The sequence below is a fragment of the Homo sapiens genome, chromosome 1 (genome assembly GCF_000001405.40).
Source record: "Homo sapiens chromosome 1, GRCh38.p14 Primary Assembly".
NCBI classification, from domain to species: domain Eukaryota; kingdom Metazoa; phylum Chordata; class Mammalia; order Primates; family Hominidae; genus Homo; species Homo sapiens.
Genome location: NC_000001.11, coordinates 228,644,480 through 228,670,694, shown reverse-complemented (window position 1 = coordinate 228,670,694; position 26,215 = coordinate 228,644,480). Strand labels below are relative to the sequence as shown.

At 45.3% G+C, this 26,215-nt stretch overlaps 1 protein-coding gene, 1 non-coding gene and 3 pseudogenes across 3 annotated transcripts in view; 2 read left to right on the top strand and 3 right to left on the bottom strand.

Annotated features, from left to right (window-relative positions):
• The window catches only part of RHOU (ras homolog family member U), a 102,023-nt gene extending 75,975 nt beyond the window's left edge, over positions 1-26,048 (bottom strand). The window contains exon 1 of the transcript NR_037962.1: positions 25,663-26,048. The gene's annotated coding sequence lies outside the window, so the exon portion shown is untranslated. The remainder of the gene's footprint in view (positions 1-25,662) is intronic.
• Positions 18,135-18,259, bottom strand: LOC124900442 (uncharacterized; annotated as a pseudogene).
• DUSP5P1 (dual specificity phosphatase 5 pseudogene 1) lies at positions 18,270-25,785 on the bottom strand (annotated as a pseudogene). The gene is made up of 2 exons (NR_002834.2): positions 25,663-25,785; positions 18,270-20,631 (listed from the first exon to the last, which is right to left on the bottom strand). The product of NR_002834.2 is annotated as a dual specificity phosphatase 5 pseudogene 1 (transcript).
• On the top strand, positions 22,663-22,783 carry RNA5SP18 (RNA, 5S ribosomal pseudogene 18; annotated as a pseudogene).
• Positions 24,537-24,657, top strand: RNA5S17 (RNA, 5S ribosomal 17). The gene has a single exon (NR_023379.1). It is a non-coding gene; the product is annotated as an RNA, 5S ribosomal 17 (ribosomal RNA).
• Positions 26,049-26,215: the final 167 nt, after the last annotated feature.

Here is a 26,215-nt window from a genome sequence, read left to right as displayed (position 1 = left end):
ACATGAGATTTGAGTGGGGACACAGACCCAAACAATATCAACATCTATGCTGGGAATGAGGAAGTAGGAAGATCTCATCCAAGTAAGTCATCATAGAACGTTCCAGAAGAATGTAGAACTGGTCTGTTAAGTGGCTACTCTTCTTATGCTTTTTAGGTTGGCTTTTCCTAACACTTGACCCATCCTAAAGGAGAGACCTTGAGAGGTAAGAGATGGTGTTCACTCTTCAGTTTTATTTTCCATTGGGACATTCTCATCATTTGTTGGAAGGACTGATTTACATTTTGCTGAATTCCTCCAGTTGATGTTTCTGTTCTCCTTAATTATTAGTGCTCTGGGCAACTGCCCAGCTAGCGAAGAGGCCCCTAATCTAGCTCTGCTGAGGAAAGGGGGTGGCCTTAATGATTATCTGGGCTGGGCCACATTTTTGACAAGGATCTGTTCTCAGGTTTTAACTGACATTTAAGTTAAAATAAATGGATCTGTTCTCACTTCTTCAGAGAGGTCTTTCCTGACCCCCAACCCCATCTAAATCAGCCCCACAAGATTCTAATTCATCCTCTTTACTGCTCTTACCAGTACTGCCGTTAACTTACCTACTTACTATTCTGCATGAGATTCTTAGTAGCAGCAACTTTATTTATCCCATTGCCAAGAGCAAGGCCAGGCCCACCATAAGGGCTTGATGTTTAACCCACTTGACTGGCTACTGTGTATGAGCCTGGAGGTTTTCAAAAGCAACTAGTTATCTGAACTTCATGTTTATATTCTTGTGGTCGTTCTTTAATCACTATCTCAGCACCCTTATGATTTTCAGTTTGAAGTGCACCAAAGAACAAACTGCATCCTTTAAGCATCACTATGACTTTGAGAGAATTCTGGGCAGAAATGCACTTCACAATGAAGTAGCTAAAATGATATTAATTTTTAGGAAATTATACTCTTCTCCATACTAAACGGTCATGCCATTATTATCAGGTTCAGAAAAAGTACCCGTAAGGTAGACATGACACACCATAGGTCTAAGAATTAGGAGACTACATCTAAGTTAAAATTTTACTCAAGCAAGTTAAGGCCTTTTAGTTCTATTCCAATAACATTTCATAAGTTCTTAACCAGCGACATGGCTTAATAAAAGCTCATGGATTACCTCAGTCCTTCAGTTATAGCCTGCAGAAAAAACATTCTTAGGTTTAGCTGTGCTGGCTCTCAGAAGAAAAAATTAGGAGGTGAGAGCTTTTATTTTCCAAGTTAAACATTCCATCCAAAAAAGCACAGAGGCTGTAATGCAAGAAACATGAACCACCAAGACTGTGTTGCTGGCCCAGGCTCAGCATCACCCAGGCAATGCCTGAGGCCTGGAGGAAGCTGAGAAGTGATGACTAGTGGAGGGAGGAAGCAGCTTGTCCAACTCCTGTGATGAAACCACCAGTAAGAACCACACTGCAAATGTTTCAGCAGCCCTAGGACCCTGCTAGCAGGAACAGCCAGGGGTTGGGGGACTGGGTTCTTGTGGTGTTCCTTGTAGAAGTTCAAGTCCAGTGTACTACCTAACTCCTGTTTTTACAAGCCTAGAGAAAACACCTGTTGCCTGCCCAATCCCTGTTGTCAAGTTTCACACAAACATGGCATTGCCCTGCTTAGTGCCCTCCAGGGACACCCACTTCCTACATCGGGGGAATCTCAGACACCATCAAGGCCCATCCTGCCCCTTTTCATTCAGGCCACCATCTGTCCCTGACTTGCCTGATTCTGCAGCTGGCCTGGGTTCCTGGGATTCCCCAACCTTGTCATGTCTGCGATAGGACAGAAAGTCAGAAGAGGAGAAAAGTGACACTATGCCAGAACAGGCAGCTAGTCTGCTGGCTCAAGCCTTCCAGGTAGGCCTGAAAGGACAGCAGGGAGGTCAAAGTTAGATCAGAAATGAGCAACCTAGAGGCCTGCAGGTGGTAGCAGGGCTGGGCGAGCAGCCAGACACAGCTGTCGAGATGGTGTATTTTATCGATTCTAAGACAAAGCTCTTTTTATAATTTAGTGCCTGTGAAATCAGGATGTGTCTCACAACTAATGACATCTTAGCACTGTGTTATTGCTACTATGATCTGTTTCTGCCCACAGAACACTTCTGATGCCAAATGTGTGTGGTGGTTTGCCCTCACCGACCATTTCTCCGACACCAGCTAAGTGTTCTACAATTGAACTCTGGCACTATCTACCAAGAGTTAGCTTGAAACTCACAGGTTAAAGGCTTGGTCCCACAAGACAGCCCCCACTTCACATGCCAATCGCAATTTGGGGCCATCCATCCTTCTCATCAACTGGCTATAAATTGGGGATTTCCACAACCCTCTTTTTAGGTTGGATATTTGCTAGAAGAGCACACAGAACTCAGCATTTTACTTACATTTACCAGTCCATTACAAAGGATACACATGAACAGCCATGTGCAAAGGTATATACAGCAAGGTCCAGAAGATGCTCAAGCACAGATGCTTCTGTCCCAGTGGAGCTGGGGTGTGGCATCCTCCCAGCAAGTGGATGCGTCCACTAACCTGGAAGCTGTTCAACCCCATTGCTTTGGGGTCTTATGGAGCTTCCATTACATAGGTATGATTGATTAAATCATCGGCCATTGGTGAGTAACCCTCTAATCACTCTGGCAACCAGGTCCCATCCTAAAGCTATCTTGGCAACCACCAGGAGTTATCTCATCAGCATAAACTCATGTACAGTTGAAGAGGCTTACTATAAATAACAAAAGACTATCACTCAGGAAATTCCACCAGTTTTAGAAGCTCTGTGCCAGGAACCTGGACCAAAGACCAAACCTTTATTTTTTATTATATGACAATATCACAATTATGGTTTTTATTGTATCATTTTTAAATAATACAATAAAAAAATCTTGGTGAGTCAAGTATGACTCTAGTTCTACTCCAGTAACTTTTCATAAGTTCTTAACCAGAGATATGGCTGTATTTATCACTTTATTGCTTTATTTAAAAATAGTATTGATCAAAGGTAACATCAAATGTAGTCATTGAAAACATGGGTCGATTTCCCAGAATCAAGTCCAACATGGAGGGATAAATGGAGATACAGGCCAGAGAGAGGCCTGGAGTCAGAAACTAGAAGAACAAGGTGAGAGAGGGGCTCCCACAGGCCAAGCAACTGTGAAGTTCCCAGCATCCTACATCCCCGACTGCTTCTGGCGTGGATGCAAGTGTGTTTAAGATTCAATGCCTCTGCACCTTTTCCCCTCCAGCATCTGCCTCCTCGTGTCTAAGTTTGCCTTTCAAAACTCTGTCAACATGTTAGTTCCTTGAGCTCTTCCTGGATGCCACCAGGCAGTTACTGATCCCTCCCTCTGGGCTTCCACTGTTCTTTAAACATCTGTAACATGTTTTGTGATTATTGATTTATTTTTATGTCTTCTGTTATTTAACCACTTGCTCCAAGGATGGGGTCAGTCTCTGAATCCCAGCACTGGAGCAGTGTCCAGAAAAGAAGAAGCACTTCCTTGTTGGTTAAATGAACCTATTTAGGTGTTAAAACATATCTCTCAGGTGAACTGATAGCAAGCTCATGACAGAAGTTTATTTCACCCTGACTACAAGGAAAGCTATTTCCAACAGAGCCAGCTCAGATTTCCTTCTGTTAGAGAGCTTTCGATAGTTAAAAAATAATAATAATAACAGACAAGTGAGGCTAAATTGCCTTGCTAGATGAGGCACAAGAAAGGTAATGTTTTGCGCTAAAAGTCACTATGCAAATCTCAGACCCTGGGTCAGCCACCTGAGTTACATTCCACAAAACTAGGTGGGGAAATCTCTGGGAGGGCTTTTCTAGTCTCGTTACATTCCATGAGGGAATTGCTGTAACATTTTACAGGAAATGCTGGATATTTATCCAAAAGCACAATAAATTTTGCTCCAGCCTACTTTTTCTCTGGTTTTAGTCCTACTTAGTACCCAAGTAGCCTGAGTCTTGTGGAATGGGGACTTTCAAGTCTTCAGTCACAGGGGTGCACATTCCCTGCTGGCTTCCAAACAGGGGCTGCCACACCACCCTGAGCAAGAATACTCTTACACTGGAGGCTAGGAAGGATAGGAAGGGAGGGATAGGGAGAGATTTGTTAAAGGATACAAAAAAACAGATAGGTAAGGGGAATTAGTTCTAGTGTTCTATATCACTGTAGGATGACTATAGTTAACAATAATATATTATATAGTTTCAAACAGTGAGAAAGAGGATATTGAATGTTCCCAACACAAAGAAATGATAAACCTTTGAAATGATGAATACACTGATTACCATGATCTGATCACCAGATATTATTTGTATCAAAACATCACTAGGTACCTCATGACTATGTACAACAACTATTTGTCAATTAGGAAAAAATAAAATAAATTTTTAACAAAGAATGCTCTTAGACCAGGCACGGTGGCTCACACCTGTAATCCTAGCACTTGGAAAGGCTAAGGTGGATGGATCACTTGAAGTCAGGAGTTCGATACCAGACTGGCCAACATGGTGAAACCCTGTTTCTACTAAAAATACAAAAAAATTAGCCAGGCATGGTGGTGCACGCCTGCAATCCTAGCTACTTGGGAGGCTCAGGTGGGGGGATCACTTGAACCCGGGAGGCAGAGGTTGCAGTGAGCCGAGATCACACCACTGCACTCCAGCCTTGGTGAGAGCAAGGTTCTGTCAAAAAAAAAAGAACACTTCTAGATGCTGGGGTGAAGAAGGCTTTTGTCCATCTTGTGTTAATTATGACCTTTTTATTCTGTATTTTTGATGCTTTGACATCTTGGGGCCTTGCTGACCCTGGAGGGACTGCTTTCTCCCAGGGTAGAAGGTATTACTATTTGAACCACTAGACTGAGTCAAAATGATCTGTCCTCACCAATGTGGATAGGCATTATTCTTCCAATTCCTTGAAGGTCTCAACAGAACAAAAAGACAGGGGAAGGACAAATTTGCTCTTTATTCTGGAGCTAGGACATCCAACTTCTGCTCTCTGACATCAGAACTGCAGGTTCTCAATCCTGGGACTCTGGGACTCATATTAGTGTTCCCCATCCCACTCTACTCAAAGATATATTACTGTCCCCACTCCACTCAAAGATATATTACTGTTCCCCACTCCACTCTACCAAAGATACCTGATTTGAGTCACTCAGAAGACTAGGTAGGGGTTTATTGAGGGAGCTGGCAACCCATCCCCGACATGTGTGACCCAGCCAGAACCAGAGCAGTAGGAGCCTCACTGCCTTCACCCTAGTGCTGCCACGTAGAGCAGCTAGAGCCTCTCCTGTGGACTCAAGCCTGACAGTGGGAGTTCCCTTGGGAAGGTAGGATCACCTTCACCTCTTTATCTTGGTTTCTTTATCGGTACAATGGAAATGGTAATAATAGTACCTAAATCTTGGGGTTATCATAAAGATTAAAGTAATTAAAGCATGTGAAGTGCTTAGACCATGCCTAGTGCATAGCAGGCACTTTATAATCATTTACTTCAATAAAAACATAGGTCCTGGAGCCAAAGGCTTGACCTTAATTGATATGTGAACCAGGTAAAAGTCACTTAGCCATTCTGAGTTTCAGTTTTCTTATTTGTAAAATGAAAATAAAATAGTACCTATCTTGAAGGGTTTTCATGAAGATTAAATAAGCTAATAGGAAGAAATCACCATAACAGCCTGGCACCACAAATGTTAGTTAATAAAGCTTGGCAAGCCGGGCACGGTGGCTCACACCTGTAATCCCAGCACTTTGGGAGGCCGAGGCGGATGGATCACCTGAGGTCGGTGGATCACCTGAGGTCAGGATTTCGAGACCAAAATGGCCAACATGGTGAAACCCCATCTCTACCAAAATACAAAAAATTAGCCGGTCATGGTGGCAGGCGCCTGTAAACCCAGCTACTCGGGAGGCTGAAGCAGAAGAATTGCTTGAACCTGGGAGACGGAGGTTGCAATGAGCTGAGATTGCGCCATTGCACTCCAGCCTGGGCAACAAGGACAAACCTCTGTCTCAAAATCAATCAATCTTGGCAATGAACACGGGTTCCTCCTGGCAAAGGTTTTGGCTCTGTGGGGTAATGCTGCCCTCTGCCGGACAATTTGGTTTCTTGCTTTGTTTGTTTTAATAAACTGTTGGGTTTTTTCCCAAAGTCCCACCCCACCTAGCAAAAAGGTTAACATTCTTCATAAAGATTATTTTCTCAGAATACGTTTCTGAGAAAATGAGTACAAACATGATTTGTTGATTCGCTATCCGCAAATGGCTTTCCTCATTTGAGGAACAAATGAGCCACTTGGAAGCTTACTTGGGCTGCAATTTTATTTCCAATTTTATCTTTATGAAGAAATCCAGGCCGAGCGCAGCGGCTCACACCTGTAATCCCAACACTTTGGGAGGCCGAGGAGGGCCGATGCCCAGGAGTTCGAGACCAGCCTGGGAAATATGGAGAAACCTCGCCTCTACAAAAACTACAAAAAATTAGCCGAGCCTGGTGGCACACATCTGTAGTCCCAGCTACTCGGTAGGCTGAAGTGGGAGATCACGCGAGCCCGAGAGGTCAAGACTGCAGTGAGCCGTGATAGTGCCACTGCTCTCCAGCCTGGGCGACAGAAGATAAGAAAAGAAGAGAAGGGAAGAGAAAAAAAGGAGAGGGGAGAGGAGGGGAGGGGAGGGGAGGGGAGGGAAGGGGAGGGGAGGGGAGGGGAGAAGAAAAAGAAATCCAGCTATGTTGGCCGGGCGTGGCGGCTCGCGCCTGTAATCCCAGCACTTTGAGAGGCCAAGGCGGGTGGATCACTTGAGGTCAGGAGTTCGGGACCAGCCTGGCCAACATGGTGAAGCCCCGTCTCTACTAAAAATACAAAAATTAGCCAGGTATGGTGTCGCGCGCGCGTAATCCCAGCTACGTGGGAGGCTGAGGCAGGAGAATCGCTTGATCTCGGGAGGCGGAGGTTGCAGTGAGTTGAGATCATGCCACTGCACCCCAGCCTGGGGGACAGAGTGAAATTCCGTCTCAAAAAAAAAAAAAAAAAAAAAAAAAGAAAAGAAAAGAAAAGAAAAGAAAAACAGAAAAGAAAAATAAAAATAAAGAAAAATAATGTCAGCTATGTGTTGAGATATTGCTGCTTAATTTTTTTTAACTTTTCTTTTTTCTTCTTAAACTCAATAGTAAGAATATGCTTAACTTTTCCGATTTTCCTTATTATTGCTTTCCTATGAGTTGAGAATATTGTGATAAGTGCCTAGTCTGGTAATTTGCACACACATTGTATTCTCTTGTTACAGTTACAGTGTGATAAAATAAATAAATGAAAAGTCATAGCATGGCAAAAAGTATAGCACTTGAAACACTGTAGTGTGCTAGTTGCCTCACTGTGGTTTGTGATGTGTCTAAAGCAAGGGGAAATAATGAGAACACCACACAAGGTCTCTGTCCAGACTATTCAACTCTGATCTTTGAATCACAAAAGCAGCCGTAAGATACATAAATGAATGAGTGCAACTGCGCTGTCATAAAACTTTATTCATAACTGTTGAAATTTGAATTTCACATAATTTTCAAATACTACAAAATATCATTCTTTTTATTTTTCTCAATTGTTCACAAAAGTTAAAACCATATACAAAAACAGGCAGCTGACAATTTGGGCACAGAATCTGTAGTTGTGGACCTCTGGTCTAGAGTCATCCACCAAGAGCAGCCAGATCCCGAGGGGACAGAATGGTGATTTAAACAGAAATATCATGGGGACACTATTGCTGCATTCTTTAGACCCTTGAGGGTGTCACTTATCTCTGCCATTCCCCTTGATGCAGCATTTTGTCTTGTTCTCTCTTGACTAGGGATATAGTTTTTTTAATGTGCAGAACATGCAGATTGGTTATATAGGTATACATGTGCCATGTTGGTTTGCTGCATCCATTAGCTCGTCATTTACATTAGGTATTTCTCCTAATGCTATCCCTCCCCCAGCCCCCCACCCTACAACAGGACCCAGTGTGTGGTGTTCCCTGCCCTGTGTCCAACTGTTCTCATTGTTCAGTTCCCACCTATGAGTGAGAACATGCAGTGTTTGGTTTTCTGTCCTCGTGATAGTTTGCTCAGAATGATGGTTTACAGCTTCATCCATGTCCCTGCAAAAGACATGAACTCATCCTTTTTTGTGGCAGCATAGTATTCCATGGTGTATATGTGCCACATTTTCTTAACCCAGTCTATCATTGATGGACATTTGGGTTGGTTCCAAGTCTTTGCTATTGTGAATAGTGCTGCAAATAAACACTCGCGTGCATTTGTCTTAATAGTAGCATGATTTATAATCCTTTGGGTATATACCCAGTAATGGGATCGCTGGGTCAAATGGTATTTCTAGTTCTAGATCCTTGAGGAATCGCCACACTGTCTTCCACAATGGTTGAGCTAGTTTACACTCCCACCAACAGTGTAAAAGTGTTCCTATTTCTCCACATCCTCTCCAGCACCTGTTGTTTCATGACTTTTTAATGATCACCATTCTAACTGGTGTGAGATGATATCTCATTGTGGTTTTGATTTGCATTTCTCTGATGACCAGTGATGATGAGCATTTTTTCATGTGTCTTTTGGCTGCATAAATGTCTTCTTTTGAGAAGTGTCTGTTCATATACTTTGTCCACTTTTTGATGGGTTTGTTTGTTTTTTTCTTGTAAATTTGTTTAAGTTCTCTGTAGATTCTGGATATTAGTCCTTTGTCAGATGGGTAGATTGCAAAAATTTTCTCCCATTCTGTAGATTACCTGTTCACTCTGATGGTAGTTTCTTTGGCTGTGCAGAAGCTCTTTAATTTATTTAGACCCCATTTGTCAATTTTGGCTTTTGTTGCCATTGCTTTTGGTGTTTCAGTCATGACGTCCTTGCCCATGCCTATGTCCTGAATGGTATTGCCTAGGTTTTCTTCTAGGGTTTTTATGGTTTTAGGCCTAATGTTTAAGTCTTGAATCCATCTTGAATTAATTTTTGTATAAGGTGTAAGGAAGTGATCCAGTTTCAGCTTTCTACATATGGCTAGCCAGTTTTCCCAGCACCATTTATTAAATAGGGAATCCTTTTCCCAGTTATTGTTTTTGCCAGGTTTGTCAAAGATCAGATGGTTGTAGGTGTGTGGTGTTATTTCTGAGGGCTCTGTTCTGTTCCATTGGTCTATATCTCTGTTTTGGGACCAGTACCATGCTGTTTGGTTACTGTAGCCTTGTAGTATAGTTTGAAGTCAGGTAGCGTGATGCCTCCAGCTTTGTTCTTTTTGCTTAAGATTGTCTTGGCAATGAGGGCTCTTTTTTGGTTCCATGAACTTTAAAGTAGTTTTTTCCAATTCTGTTAAATCATTGGTAGCTTGATGGGGATGGCATTGAATCTATAAATTACCTTGGGCAGTACGGCCATTTTCATGATATTGATGCTTCCTATCCATGAGCATGGAATGTTCTTCCATTTGTTTGTCTCCTCCTTTATTTTGTTGAGCAGTAGTTTGTAGTTCTCCTTGAAGAGGTCCTTCACATCCCTTGTAAGTTGGATTCCTAGGTATTTTATTCTCTTTGTAGCAACTGTGAATGGGAGTTCACTCATGATTTGGCTCTCTGTTTGTCTGTTATTGGTGTATAGGAATGCTTGTGATTTTTTGCACATTGATTTTGTATCCTGAAACTTTGCTGAAGTTGCTTATCAGCTTAAGGAGATTTTTTTTTTTTTTTTTTTTGAGACAGAGTTTCGCTCTTGTTGCCCAGGCTGGAGTACAATGGTGCAATATCAGCTCACCGCAACCTCTGCCTCCTGGGTTCAAGCAATTCTCCTGCCTCAGCCTCCTGACTAGCTGGGATTACAGGCATGCACCACCACACCTGGCTAATTTTGTATTTTTAGTAGAGATGGGGTTTCTCCATGTTGGTTAGGTTGGTCTCAAACTCCCAACCTCAGGTAATCCACCCACCTCGGCCTCCTAAAATGCTAGGATTACAGGTGTGAGCCACCGCACCCAGGCAGACTAGGGGTATAGTTTTAGGCTTCTGCTTGGCTTTCCTTTTCTATGATGAATTTCACCTCACAGTCCTAGGGTATGGTGAGGATTTTTATACATCAATCTTCATATGGGATATTATTCTACAGTTTTTTCTTGTAAAATCTTTGTCTTGCTTTGGTATCAGGGCAATTGTAGCCTCATAGAATGAGTTAGGGAGTACTCCCTCCTCTTCAAGTTTTTGGAAGGGATTAAGAAGGATTAATATTAGTTATCTAAATATTTGATAGAAAAGTCAAGTCCAAGGCTTTTTTTTTTTTTATTTTTTTCGGTCAGGAGATTTTTGGTTACTGATTCAGTCTCCTTACTAGTTACTAGTCTATTCAGATTTTCAATTTCTTCATGATTCAGTCTTGGTAGGGTTCATATTCCTAGGAATTTGTCCATTTCATCCAGGTTATCCAATATGTTGGTGTACAATTGTTCTTAGCACTCTCTTACAATCCTATTCATTTATTTATTTGAGACAGGGTCTCATCTGTCACCCAGGCTGGAGCACAGTGGTGTGATCTAGGCTCACTACAACCTCCACCTCCCAGGTTCAAGTGATCCTCCTACCTCAGCCTCCTGAGTAGCTGGGACAACAGGCTTTTGCCACCAAGATGGGCTGATTTTTCTTTTTCTTTCTTTCTTGTTTTTTTTTTTTTTTGTTTTTTTTTTGTAGAGACCAGGTTTTACCATGTTTCCCAGGCTAGTCTTGAACTCCTGAGCTCAAGTGATCCACCTGCCTGAGCCTCCCGAGTAGCTGGGATTACAGGCGCCTGCCACCACACCCGGCTACGTTTTTTGTATTTTTAGTAGAGATGGTTTCACCATGTTGGCCAGGCTAGTCTCGAACTCCTGACCTCAAGTGATCCGCCTGCCTTGGCCTCCCAAAGTGCTGGGATTACAGGTGTGAGCCACTTCACCCTGCCAATCCTTTTCATTTTGACTGGATCAGATAGTAATGTCCCCAATTCCATTTCTGATTTTAGTAATTTGAGTCTTCTCTCTTTTTTTCTTAGTCAGTCTATAAAGTTTGTCAATTTTATCTTTAAAAAAAAACCAGCTTTTGGTTTTGTTGATTTTCTCCTTTTTTTTTAATGCTCTGTTTTATTTATTTCTGAAATAATCTTTATTTCCTTCCTTCTGCTAGTGTTGGGTTTAATTTTTTTCTTTTCTAGTTGCCTAAATTGTAAATTTAGGTTGCTAATTTGAGATCTTTTTGGTGTTTTTTGTTTTGTTTTGTTTTGTTTTTGAGATGGAGTTTCACTCTTGTTGCCCAGGCTGGAGTGCAATGGTGTGATCTCGGCTCACTGCAACCTCTGCCTCCCGGGTTTAAGTGATTCTTCTGCCTCAGCCTCCCAAGTAGCTGGGATTACAGGCACCTGCCACCATGCCCAGCTGATTTTGTATTTTTAGTAGAGACAGGGTTTCTCCATGTTGGTCAGGCTAGTCTGGAACTCCTGACCTCAGGTGATCCGCCCACCTCAGCCTCCCAAAGTGCTGGGATTACAGGCGTGAGCCATGACGCTCGGCTTTTTGTTTTTTGTTTTTTTAAAACGTAAGCATTTCACACTATAAATTTCCCTGTTAGCACTGCTTTTACTGTATCCCAAAGTTTTGCTGTACTGTGTTTTCATTTTCATTCATTTCTGAGTACAGCTGAGCCTTGAACAACATGGATCTGAACTGCAAGGGTGCATTTATACAGTAATTGTTTTCAATAAATACAGTTGGTCCTCTGATTTCATGAATTCTGCATCTGTAACCAAAGGCAGATTGAAAATACAGTATTCACAGAGTGCAAAACCTGAGGATACAGAGGCCTTACTTTTTTAATACCCAGGTTTTACAGGGCCAACTGCAGGACTTGACTCTGTGTGGATTTTGGCCTACTTATGGGGTCCTGGAACCAATCCCCTGTGGATGCTGACAGCCAACTGTATTTTCTGATTTCTCTTGTGGTTTCATCTTTAACCCATTGGTTGTTTAAGAATATATCTTAATTTGTTCATGTTGCTGTAACAAAATACCTGAGATTGGATAATTTATTAAAAAACAGACATTTATTTCTCTCAGTTCTAAAGGCTGGGGTGTCCAAGATCAAGGCATCAGCCCATTCAGTGTCTAGCGAAGGCCCCGTCTCTGCTTCCAAGATGTCACAACGTTGCTGCATCTTTCAGAGCGGAGGAACATTGTGTCCCCACGTGGAGGAGACAGGAGTGAATGAATCCACTCCTTCAAGTCCTTTTATAAGGGCTCTAATTTCGTCCATAAGGACTTCTATCCTCATGAGATAATCACCTAAAGAATCCACCTTTTTACCCTTTTTTTTTTTTTTTTTTTTGAGACAGGGTCTCATTCTATTGCCCCCATTGGAGTGCAGTAGCCTGTAGCCTGATCATGGCTCACTGCAGCCTTGACCTCCCAGGCTCAACCAGTCCTCCTGTTTCAGCCTCCTGAGTAGCTTGGACTACAGGCCTGCACCACCATGCCCACCTAATTTTTGTATTTTTTGTAGAGACAAGGTTTTCCCATGTTGCCCTGGCTGGTCTTAAACTCCTGGGCTCAAACAATCTGCCAGTCTCCTCCTCCCAAAGTGCTGGGATTACAGCATGAGCCACCACCCCAGGCCACTGTCCACCTCTTAACACTATCATATTGGCAGTTAAATTTCAACGTATAAATTTTGGGGGACATTCAGACCATAGCAGTGTGTTGTTTAATTTCCAAAAAGAAAAAAGGTCAGTTTATCAGTTTTACTTCTATTATTGATTTTTAACTCTATTCTGTTGTGGTCAGAGAAGATATTTGATATGCTATCTATCTTTTAAAATTTACTGAGACTAAAATTGTGGCCTGACATATGGTCTATACTGGAGAATGTCCTGTGTGCACTTGAGAAAAAAGTGTATATTGCAGCTGCTGGATATAGAGTCCTATACATGTCTGCCAGATTTAGCTGATTTATTGTGTTGTTCAAGTCCTTGTTTTCTTATCCTCTATCTGATCATTCTATCCATTATTACCAGTAGGGTATTGAACTCTCCATTTGTCTTTTGTAGAACTGTCTGTTTCTCCCTTCAGTCTATCAGGTTTTGCGTCATATATTTTAATGGTCTGTTACTAGGTGCGTAAATGTTTACAATTGTTACATTATCTTGTTATTTTAAACCTTTTATTAATATATATGCCCTTCTTTGTCTTATGTAAACCTATTTGATTTTGAAGTCTGTTTTGTCTGATATTAGTACAGCCACTACTGTTCTCTTTTGGTCACTATTTGCATGGAATATCTTTTTTCTTTTTTTTTTATTCTTTTTCTTTTTCCTTTTTTTTTTTTTTTTTTTTTTTGAGATGGAGTTTTTTGCTCTCGTTGCCCAGGCTGGAGTGCAATGGTGTGATCTCGGCTCACTGCAACCTCCACCTCCTGGGTTGAAGCGATTCTCCTGCCTCAGCCTCCCCAGGAGCTGGGATTACAGGCACCTACCACCACGCCCAGCTAATTTTTTGTATTTTTAGTAGAGACAGGGTTTCATCATGTTGGCCAGGCTGGTCTTGAACTCCTGACCTCAGGTGATCCACCTGCCTCGGCTTCCCAAAGTGCTGGGATTACAGGCGTGAGCCACCACTCCCAGCCTCTTTTTTCTATTTCTTCACTTTCATCCTATTCGTGGTTTTTAATCTAAAATTTCTCTCTTGTAGACAGCATAGAATCGGGTTTCATGTTTTTGTCTATTCTGCCAATCTCCATCTTTTGACTGAAGAGCTTAATCTAATTATATTTGAAATAATTACTGATAAGGAAGAACTTACTTCTGTCATTTTGCTACCTTTTTTTATATGCATTATAGTTTTTCCCCTCATTTTCTGCATTACCATCTTCTGTTGTATTTGATTATTTTTGTAGTGAATAATTTTAATTCCTTTCTCATTTCCTTTTGTATATATTCTATAGCTACTTTTTGTGGTTCCCATAGGAATTGCATTTAGGATCTTAAAGTTTTAACACTCAAATTTGAATTTATACCAATTTAACTTCAGTAACATGTAAAAACTCTTTTTTTTTAAAGCTCCATCCCCCCTTTCAGTTACTGATGTCAAACAATTACATGTTTATGTATTATGGGTCCAAAAACATAGACTAAATTGTTTCTTATGCACTAGTCTCTTAAAACATGTAGAAAACAAAAAGTGAATGGTATTTTTGGGAAAAGCGTAATTTTTAAAAAGAAAGAAAACAAAAAGTGGAGTTACAAACCGAAGTGTAAAGCTAAATAACAGATAGAGAAGTAATCTAAAAGAAAATGAAATTAGCCAGGTGTGGTGGCACATGCCTGTAGTCCCGGCTACTCAGGAGGCTGTGGGGAAAGGACTGCTTGAGGCCAGGAGGTCAAGGCTGCAATGAGCCATGATTGTGCCACTGCACTTCAGCCTAGGCAACAGAGCCAAACAAAACAACAAAAAAAAAGATATTTATTTGAGACTAAGCATTGCAAAGTGAATATGGAAGGCATATTCAGGGAGGTAAAAGAAGACAGGAGTTTTTTAAGGAAAAATGAGGAGAATTACATAATTGTTTTGAAATCATTATCATTGGCTACAAAGATCAATAGCACAGGTGGCCCCAGTCCAAGATTGTCAGGCAGTTGCTGGACAGATGTCTTCACAGTATTTTTTTATGTAAGGCTGTGGTCTTTGTGCAAGTTTGTAGTTTTTGCAGAGTCTTTCGTGTGATAGTTTTTATCATTAGGCATACTTGTATGAGAACCCTCTCTTTGTGGCCTTCCCCAGCTCCATTTGTCAAGGTTTTAACACAGTGACTTCATTTTGTTTCTGACAACTTTTACATTTCCCCTTTTTGATCAAGATTGTTCTTTGAAAGCATCACTAACCAATCGTACTGTAGTTAGATTCTGATTGTCCCTCAGTGCTGAGATGTACCTGTCCTGAGCTGTTAGTCTGGTCTAGCCCTGTGTTCAAGGGAAATGAATCGCGACTAGCAAAACCCTTTTTTGCCACATTTGAGCAACAAGAGAGGTTTAGAGGGAGTGGCTCTCAGGCTAAGTCTACCTGGAGTCCATTGTTAAGCCCAATTTTGTCTGTTCCATAGGCCTTTGCTATCATCCAAAGTTCTGGGCCAGAATTATTTTCTTAGGAGTTGCACTTTTGCATAAATTTGTTAAGCCATGGGCACAAAGTTTTTTAAAAATAAAATACAAAGCAAGGTTAGGCCAGGTGCAGTGGCTTATGCCTGTAATCCCAGCACTTTGGGAGGCCTAGGTGGGTGGATCTTGAGGTCAGGAGTTCAAGACCAGCCTGGCCAAGATGGTGAAACCCCGTCTCTACTAAAAATACAAAAATTAGCTGGGTATGGTGGTGGGTACCTGTAATCCCAGCTACTCGGGAGGCTGAGGCAGAGAATTGCTTGAACTCATGAGGCGGAGGTTGCAGTGAGCCAAGATCGCGCCACTGCACTCCAGCCTGGGTGACAGAGCAAGACTTCATCTCCAAAAAAAAAAAAAAAGCAAGGTTAATAGTAATATGATAACCCCAGTTTACATAATGATTTTGAGCCATGAACCTAGGATTAAATGCAATCAACTGAATAAATCAAATCATTATAGGGAACTAGGTGAGGTCTGTTATAACCATGTGGACTGTTTTTTTATTTTGTGTATTTGGGTCTCAACTTCTCCAGAAAAATTGTTCAGGTACAGCACATAGAATTAGCAATAACACAGGCATTTTCTTATTTAACCAAAAACTAATATGGAGCAATTTTATCATCTGGTATCCCATGACTGGGTTGAATTAAAGCCAAGAATGCTATCTAAAAAAAGAAAAAAGACCAATAGTACAATATGAACAAAAACCTGTGTTGGGGATGTTGCCAAAGTTACCCACTAGGTGCACTAAAGGATTTCTTAGATCAGGTTCTGTCGAGTTACCCACAGTAGCTACAATCGTGAAATTTCAATTATGTCATTATCATGCCAAGTAAAAGAGGTAGGCATAAACAAGGAAAAATTAAAAGAAGCAAGATTCTCACGGTGATGGGGAGTCTTGTTCTATTATCTTGGGAAAAGCTGCCCACATCATGAAGCCAATCAACTTCTTGTTCTGGTTTGCAGTTTTAATGTCTCTGATTATGGCATCAGGTGGTCAGTGAACTTTCTGTATGGCCCATACATCAACTATGAGACTTGTCTTATAAAATCCATTTATGCTGGATATTGTGGTTCACAGCTGTAATCCCAACACTTTGGGAGGCTGAGGTTGGAGTATGGCTTGAAGTCAGAAGTTTGAGACCAGCCTGGGCAACAAAGAGACACATCATCTATAAAAAAATTAAAAATTACCTGGTCATGGTGATGTGTGCCTGTAGTTTCCAGGTACTTAGGAAGTGGAGGCAAGAGAATCACTTGAACCCAGGAGTTCAAGGCTTCAGTAAGCTGATTGGGCCACTGTACTCCAGCCTGAGTGACAGAGCAAGACTCTGACTCAAAAAAAAAAAAATCAGCTAGTTTCAACTTACAGGGCTTCAGGAACACAGCAATTCTTGGTACTTACATGGAAGAAAGCTGGATTGGGGGAACCTAGAAAAATTTAGGATGCAGTTCATTCTACAGGCAAATAATAAAAACTCAAAAACAATGCACAGGGCTATATTCTAGCAACAGGTGTATTACAGCTGTTCTTTGGAAACATAACTTTTCTCTTCACAGTCTTCCCAATTTCTACCAAAGATCATCAGAGAAAGACAAAATGTTTTGCAGAATTAGTTCAATTTTATCAAATTTCGCCTAATCATTTGCATAAGCATATCAAGAATAACAACTGGCTACATTGTAATTTCAGATTTAAAAACCTCTTGAGGCTGGTCACAGTGGCTCACACCTGTAATTCCAGCACTTTGGGAGACCAAGGTGGGAGGATTGCTTGAGGCCAGGAGTTCGAGACCAGCCTGGCTAAAATGGTGAAACCCCATCTCTACTAAAAATACAAAAATTAAGGCTGGGCGCAGTGGCTCATGCCTGTAATCTCAGCACTTTGGGAGGCCGAAGTGGGTGGATCACCTGAGGTTGGGAGTTCGAGACCAGCCAGACCAACATGGAGAAACCCCATCTCTACTAAAAATACAAAATTAGCTGGGCATGGTGGAGCATGCCTGTAATCCCAGCCACTTGGAAGGCTGAGGCAGGAGAATCACTTGAACATGGGAGGCGGAGGTTGCAGTGAGCCGAGATGGCACCACTGCACTCCAGCCTGGACAACAAGAGCAAAACTCCGTCAAAAAAAAATACAAAAATTAGTCCGACATGATGGCACCAGCCTGACTCCCAGCTATTCATAAGGCTGAGGCATGAGAATCACTGGATTCCCCCTCCCAGGGGGCAGAGGTTACAGTGAGCCACGATCGTGCCACGCACTCCAGCCTGGGTGACAGAGGGAGACCTTGTCTCAAAAATAACAACAACAAACCCTTGAGGCTAGGTAGCCAAATCAAGACAGACTTTAGACTTTGTTTACAGTATCTATAAACCCCTTAAATATGACATTCCAAAGTCATGGCAATGTAACCAATATTTCCAATTGTATCTTGCTATAGAGGTGATTCTTATTGAACTTATGGAAATAATTACATTTCCATTAAAAATAAGTATACTCATGAAGTCATTTCCAAATTTTGGAGGTACTTAGTAGGAAGAAAAAAATAAATGCTTTCACTTTTGTTCATAAATGTATGCTTTATCAAATTGCTGAAAACTTTAGATAGCATAAGCGAAAATATTTTCTTAAATTTGGGAAACAAAACATATAAGTAAAGAGCCATCAGTATTTTAAATAAAAGTCATGAAAACATTATTAGTTATTCAATCTCATGTAATTAATTTTTTGTTTTGCTAAATCTTATTAGCAATTTCATGAATTCATCAGTTTCTTCATTAGAAGTTATGGACATCTTTTTTCCCAAGCACTTCGTAGTTGATAAAAGAGAAATATAAAATTTTTTTTAAAAAAGAAAGTTCTGGAAATGTTTATGTGGTCTGCTGATTTTATTTTCTTTTTCCATGTTGCCCCATTCATAATACAGACCAGGCTTGGACTGAGGTGTATATAGGATAGGTTTACTCTGCCTCCTCTCTCTATTCAGTCAGTGAAAGAGCACAGTCTGTGGTAAGCACCAAAAGGCCTCCATTGATCTTTTTTCCTTTTTGCTATTTTTATTTTGCACTATAAACAACAACAACAATGGTCAGTAACATAGAGCTTTTCTTCACATTTGCATGGATTGCAAAATCTGCAAATTCCAGAAGTCAGTGGCTTGAAGACAAAACAACTGTCACAAGAGACACAACACATAGAAGGACAGGAAGCTGAAGAAGACAGTTTTCAATATTACTGACCCAGGATACACAGCAAGTACCCTTTTCCTCCTGGCACCTGGTGCCGCCACCTTGATGGTATGATTTTTTAGTCTATGATCTGAAAAAATATTTTCTCAAATGAAGAGCTGCTGAGAAGAGGTGCAATGAGATAAGTTCAAGTATGAGTAACAGTCATACTTATTCAAGTGTAGATTTGTATCATACTTATAAAAGTCCAAGGTCAGTGAGGAAGCCACAGCAAAAGAGAAACCCAGAAAGGCCAACATCTTGCTACTTCAACCAACTGCCTCCATTGGACCCAAGAGGGTATGTAAAAAACATTTCAGGGTTCAAATTGGCATATATATCATGTCTCCACAAACCCTGTAGGGTTACTTTCCTGACTAGATGGTGATCAGCTTATTTCCTGAAGCAACGGAGACAGACATTGAGACTGCCAAAGTTTGAAAAATAAGGTGGAAATTGTGCTTCCTTCAAAATGAATTGGCTTCATAAGTGCCATTTCTGTTGGTCCAGCAACTTCTTTCTCCCATGTTGCTGCAGGTATTTATTGCCTTATGCTTGAAATGAAAAGGCGAACTTTGAGGTGCAAGGACTGGGCAGTCCCTTGAGGGCAGGGGGTCTGGAAGTACAGTAGTCAGCACGTGCTGTGCTCCTGTAATTGCTTGGCCTTCCTTCAATCCTGAGAACCTACCCTGAGGTCTGTGTGAAGTTCATTTGCAAGCCTGGTGACCTCTCACTATGTCACTGGGGCAACATGACAAAGTGAGGTCTTCAGTATTGCACAGATGTGAAATGTCCATTCTTAAAAACAAAAGTCATAGCTGCTCTTGGGGCTGGGCTTGTTCCTCTATCCCAGTTTTAGCAGAATGTGGCTGTGGCCACAGGGCTCCTGCTGAGCTCTGAGACTGTCCAGTGGGTGGGCACTGGAGCCAGCACTGAGGCAGGGAATGTGCAGTAGACACCCTTCAAGTCAGGGCTAAATGTCTGCAAATGGCTTATCAATGAAGAGCCTGCTGCCTCCCCCTGGTAGGAGGGAAGCTAGGGATTGGGTGTGGAAGGGAGGATTTCAAATTCCTACCGCAGGAGCTGGCCCATGAAGCCAAAGCTGGGTGAGATCATGCTCCTCTTCCACTTGACATAATTGAAGGCCTCCTTCAGGCAGAAGTGCTTGGTCTTTATGAGGGAAGCCATGCAGATGGTGGGTGAACAGGAGAACCCAGCTTCACAGTGGACCAGGACCTTGCCTTTCTTTTCTCTGACACAGTCAATGAAGTCTATTGCTTCTTGAAAGTGAGAGCTAATGTCAGCCATGTGGCCTTCTTCCACAAGGATCCATTCGTATGTAGGTGGGTCTTGCAGGCCTCACAGCCAGGTCCACAAGGGGACATTCAGCTGGGCTGTGATGTATAGCTTGATGAGGAACTTGCACTTGGATGCATGGTAGGCACCTCCAAGGTAGAGGGAGGAAAGGATTTCAACTGGACCACCCTGATCATAAGCTGGCCTGTAGTTGATGTTTAGCACTACTAGCTTTCCACACTGGCTGATGAGAGCTCTCTCACTTTGAAACGAGTGAAACGAGTTTTACATCCATGCAACCCTGGAAGAAGGTCTCATATCCCCCTTTGAGGAAGTAGACCCGCCAGCAGGAGGGCAGGCAGGCGAGCAGTGAGGTGAGGACAACCCGCCGGGCACTCTCCTCGCACAGCTTCTGCCCGTGGCAGCTCCCCTAGTTCAGCACCATCACGGCCACCAGGATGCTGCCCTCCTGCAGCAGCAGCGTGCTCCGAGGCATCTGGCAGCAAGTAGCACGCTGACCCCACAGCCGCCCCGGGCTGGCGCACACCAGTGAATAGAGGTTGATGTTGAGTGAGCCAGGCACGCTCAAGGCGGTAAAGGCCAGGTAGGGCCGGCAGCCAAGCACCATCCAGCCCGCCGCTGCCTCCTTGCGGAGCATCTTGCACACTGGCGCCAGCGACCCAGCGACCCAGCGCCACGTACTCCACAGGTGCCCAAGGCCAGGGTCCCCATGGGCGACCCATGGGGCTGCAGCCGCTGATGGAACTAGGCCCTAACCGCAGTGCAGCTCTGCTTTCCATTGATCTTAAAGTTATTAGAAATCTGTATTCAAGAGTACCTGTTAGAGTTCTTTCTATGAATCTGATTGCAGATGCCTTTAGAGAAAAGTCAAAACAATAACTGTGGATAACAAAAACTTAGAATAGAATAATTATGGTTAAAAATCTGATGAAAGTTTATTATAACCAGAAATTGACAAGAAACTGGTTATTTTGTGTCAAACAACATAAGCAGAATTACAACTGATGACGTCTTAGATTTCTAGGAGTTTTACACAATTTTGGAACATTCATATCAATAACACACCCATAAAATATAACTGAAAGAAGATCTAGTGTAACTTATTTGACAATGTTTTTCATACAGTTTATCATCTTCAAATGAGCCTGATTTAGTTTAATATGTCTCTTTTATAAACATTTGAAAAGTTTCAGGGCCCTCTGGAACATCAAGTTAATTCAAGATAAAAAAAGAAAAGACAATTTAGGATGTGATCCCGGGAAAGCTTGCCAAAATATCAAAAGGTTAAAAACACTTTATCAAAACAGCATCAAATGTCACTGTGAATTAATAGTCATTTATTTAACCAGGATGATAATCAAAATACTTCAAAATGAAATACAGACAGTTACATGAATTTTTTTAAAAACCCTTAACCCTTTTAAGCGCTGTTTTGTCAAGTAATCAAAAACCTAATAAAAACAAGCAACAGGAACCACAGATAATTATCCTGATAAAATGTAAAATCTTTGTTTCTTAGACCAGTTATCAAAAAGGTAAAGAAATATCTCCAGCAATATGATTGCTTCAGCCTCCAGAAAGCACATTTAGAGAACCTGGAAGTCAAACCTGACGAAAAGGTACTTGAATTCAATAAGACAAAGGAAGAGTGTGTGCCCAAAATTAGTAATGTTTGCCATATTATAGAGGAATGTAAACAGGTACTCTAGTACCTTGAACAGGGTAATACATGGCTTTTAGAAAAAGTAAAAGCTGGTGGGCACAGTGGCTCACACCTGTAAACCTAGTATTTTAAGAGGCCGAGGCAGGCAGATCACCCGAGGTCTGGAGTTTGAGACAGGACTGGCCAACGTGCAGAAACCATGTCACTGCTAAAAATACAAAAACTAGCCAGGCGAGGTTGGTGCGCGCCTTTAGTACAAGGTACTCGGGAGGCTGAGGCGAGAGAATGGCTTTAACCCAGAAGAGGAGGTTGCGGTGAGCCGAGATCGAACACTGCACTCCAGCCTGGCCAACAGAGCGAGAATCCGTCAGAAAGAAAGAAAGAAAGAAAGAAAGAGAGAGAGGAAGAGAAAGAAAGAGAGAAAAAACAAATTTCAGACTATATGAAAAGCAATAATTCATTAAATAGGAAGAAACAGATCTCTAGTAGAAGTAATAGATTATAATGTGACTCTGTCTCAAAAATAAAAATTTTAAAAAAAAGAAAAAGTAAAAGCATGTGAAATTGCCGGCTCACATGAAACAATTCAGGTATGTCAAGAAAAACCGAGTTCAGAATCAAATTATTCTGAAAGAAAATATTCAACTGTAAAGCTGCAGTTCAGAACATGGTTGAAATTTTAAAGAAACGGCTCTGGGTGGGTGAAGCAAGAGAGGGTCTTGCAAGAGGGGCAGCAAGGGATCCAAAACAATCCCCCCGCCGCAAGGCAAAAGACCAGAGAAGATCCCAGGACTGTGGGCCCTGGGCGTTGACACCTCAGAGCACACCAAGTCCGGAGCGGCCCAAAGTCATGGAAGCTCTGGAGCTCCGGAGCCGGGGAAGGCCTGGAGAGTCGGCGGAATGGAGGCTGCCCGGAGATCCCAGAGCTTGGGCAGGGGAAAAGGCCTCTGGCACTCCCGCGAGGAAACAGGGTGGCGCCGCGGAGGTCCAGCGAGTGGCCTAGGCGCAAGCAATCACGGAAGGCTCTAAGAGGCCAACAGAAGGCGCAAGGCGGCGGGCAACGGTGCTTGGGCGTAGACACGGAGAGCAACCCAGCCAGACCTCCGGCGAGCGGCTCCCGGGTCCCGATAAGATCCCCATGGCACTGGATTAGAGGTGGCGCATGGAGTCGGACGGGCGTGGCTGAGCCGCGCCTTTGGGGCAGACAGGCTGCACTACCGGCGTCTAAGGCCATACCACCCCGAAGGCGTCCGGTCTCCTCTGATCTCGTGAAGATAAGCAGGGTCTGGGCCAGACCGCTACTTAGATGAAACGCCACTTGAGAAAACCAGGAGACGCAGGCTTGTTTAGACTTCAAGTTCCTCCCTCTTTACCGTTTGGTCGCCGTACTTCTCAACCGCACCGTAAATCTGCTCCCTCTTTTCACACGCCCAAGCCCACACAACAGCCCGGGACCGCTTAGTGTGGGCTAACCTGCAGCACAGCCAGGCAACAACATCACAACTATTCAGGATGGGCGGCGCAACACGATGAAACCGGATCCAGCAGAAACACCACGCCTCAGATCACTAAGGTGCAGGCCAGGATTCCCTGCCGTTCGCGGTGCCTTCCCGCTCCCGGATCCACCAGGCAATTCAATTCACTCATCCGGCGCAGTCGCAACCTTATAAACCGGGGGAAGGGGCGGGCAGGGGCAGCGGGTACCACAGACGCCAGCCAAGATCTCCGCTCCAGAACGCATGGACTGCTTTACCCGGGAGGAAGGACATTGCTTCGCCAACCACCAGGAAAACAGTCCCTGTGCACCCGGATTCCTATTGCCCCGCACTTCGTGTCAACTCCAGTACCGAGGACACGCCAGAGACCCAGGCCTCCGGACGCGCCCGGTACCACGGCTCCCGCCAAAAGGGCGGGCGCACTCTGCAAATCTCGGGGCCCACTGCACCGCACCAAGAGCACAGTGAGGTACCAAGAGCACAGTGAGGTGCCAAGAAAGAATGGAGCCTACGAAACCCACCTCCAAAGCAAGCAATTCATCCAAGAAAAAACCCGTCTCAGCGCTCCGTTGGTCCTCTCGCACGGGCCGCCTGGCCGCCCTGCTCAGGCACAGCTCAAACCCCTCCACCCTATTCCGGACTGCTCAAAAGGGGGCTGCCTACCGAAGTAGGGTGCTTCCTCTCTAAGGCTCAAACGTTCTCGCTCTCTAGCTCCCTCCTCCTCACTCTTCTGGGTTTCCCCCTGGACCTCGCGTTATTTCTCTAGCCTTCCCTCTGTACCTCTGTACTTCTCCCTTTCTCTGTCCCTCTTAGCCTCTCTCTCTTTACCTCTCCACCTCTCCGGTCTCTCTCGATCGCTGTCTCTCTCCCTCCCTCGGTTTCTATCTCTCCATCCATCTTCTCCTTGCTCTCCTTCAAGCCGTGTGTGTCTGTGTTTCACCGTGTGTGTGTGTGCGTGCGTCTGCGCACCCGTGCTCGCGTGCGGGTTCCGGAACGAGAACGAACGGGTGTGTCTGTGTGTGGGGGAGTGGATTTGCTCCTGGTGGCGGTGGGGTGTGTCTGGGTTTCTCTCAGGCCCTCTCACCCGAGATCAGGCCGCCGCCTCTAGTGCCAGCCCGGGGCAAAACAGGGCCACCCCCCGACCCGCTACACCCCACGCCCTCTTGCCCCCCCGGCCGGGTCTTGGTCGGGACAAGCGACCGTGGTGGGGGCGTTGTGAGAGAAAGGCCCCGCGCGGCTGGGCCGGCTGTTCGCCTTCGGCCAGCCCTGACGGCTCTGGGTGGGTGGGGCAAGAGGGGGCCTCGCAGGAGCCCCTGTGCGGCGAGGGATCCAAAACGCTGCCTCCGCGACAGGGCGGAGGACCGGAGGGCGTCCCAGGATCGTGGGCCCTGGGCCCTGACGCCTCGGAGCACTCCCTGCTCCGAGCGGGCCCGATGTGGTGGAAGCTCGGGAGCGCGGGAGCCGGGGGAAGGCCGCGGGCCAGCGGCTCGGGGGTCCCCGATCCGAGCCCCGCGGCCCCGGGCTGGCGGTGTCGGCTGCAATCCGGCGGGCACGGCCGGGCCGGGCTGGGCTCTTGGGGCAGCCAGGCGCCTCCTTCAGCGTCTACGGCCATACCACCCTGAACGCGCCCGATCTCGTCTGATCTCGGAAGCTAAGCAGGGTCGGGCCTGGTTAGTACTTGGATGGGAGACCGCCTGGGAATACCGGGTGCTGTAGGCTTTTTCTTTGGCTTTTTGCTGTTTCTTTCCTTTTCTTCCAGACGGAGTCTCGCCCTGTCGCCCAGGCTGGAGTGCAGTGGCGCCATCTCGGCTCACTGCAAGCTCCGCCTCCCGGGTTCACGCCATTCCCCGGCCTCAGCCTCCCGAGTAGCTGGGCCTACAGGCGCCCGCCACCACGCCCGGCTACTTTGTTCTATTTTTCCTAGAGACGGGCTTTCACCCTGTTAGCCGGGATGGTCTGGAGCTCCTGACCTCGTGATCCACCCGCCTCGGCCTCCCAGAGTGCTGGGATTACAGGCGCGAGCCACCGCGCCCGCCCGGCCTGCTGTAGGCTTTTGTGGCTTCCCCGCTGCCTCCCTTCCCCCCACAGTCGCCATGCTTCCCAACCTCCCCTGACTCTGCTCCCCCTTTACCGCCCACCTACACCCCCGCCGCAGCCGCAGCCGGGGTCCTCCTGCTGGGGGTCCGCCCCTACTGCACGCCGGCCCGGCAGCAGCATCCCACCGCTTCCGCCTCGCCGCCGCCCCGCCAGGAGCCCGGCTCCAGCCTGGGAGGGCAGGGGGCCGGACCCCAAAGGCGCAGCCGCTGGGTTCCCTGCCGTTCGCGGTGCCTTCCCGCTCCCGGAACGCCCAGGCGATTCAATTCACCCATCGGGCGCCGTCGTCGCACCCTTCCAAACCGGGGGAAGGGGCGGGCAGGGGCAGCGGGTGCCACAGACGCCAGCCAAGACGTCGGCTCCGGAACGCATGGGCTGCTTTACCCGGGGGAAGGACATTGCTTCGCCAGCCACCGGGAAAACAGGCCCTGTGCACCCGGGATTCCCAATGCCCCCCGCTTCGTGTCGACGACTCCAGTCCCGAGGACTCGCCAGAGACCCAGGCCTCCGGGCCCGCCCGGTGCCACGGCTCCCGCCAAACGGGCGGGCGCGCTCTGCAAATCTCGGGGCCCGCCGCAAGGCACCCAGAGCACAGGGAGGTGCCAAGAAAGGCAGGAGCCTACGAAACCCACCTCCAAAGCAAGCAATTCATCCAAGAAAACGCCCGCCTCAGCGCTCCGTTGGTCCTCTCGCACGGACCGCCTGGCCCCCGTGTTCTGGGCGCAGCCCAAGCCCCCTCCACCCTATCCCGGCCTGCTCAAGAGGGCGCTGCCTAACGGAGCCGGGCGCTTCCTCTCTAAGGCTCTATCGCTCTCGCTCTCTAGCTCCCTCCGCCTCTCTCTTCTGGGTTTCCCCCTGGACCTCGCGCTACTTTTGTCGTTTTCCCTCTGTCTCTCTGTCTCTCTCTCTCTCTTTCTCTGTGCCTCTCTCTTTCTCAGCCTCTCTGTCTGTCTCCTTCCCTCTCGCCCTCCCCTGTCTCTCTCGATCGCTGTCTCTCTCCCTCCCTCGGTTTCTATCTCTCCATCCATCTCGTCCTTGCTCTCCTTCAAGCCGCGTGTGTGTGTGCGTGCGTGTGCGCGTGCGTGTGTGCGTGTGTGTCTGTGTGTGTGTGTGTGTCCGCGCGCGCGGGTGCGAGCGCGCCCGGGTGTGTCTGTGTGTGGGGGAGTGGATTTGCTCCTGGTGGCG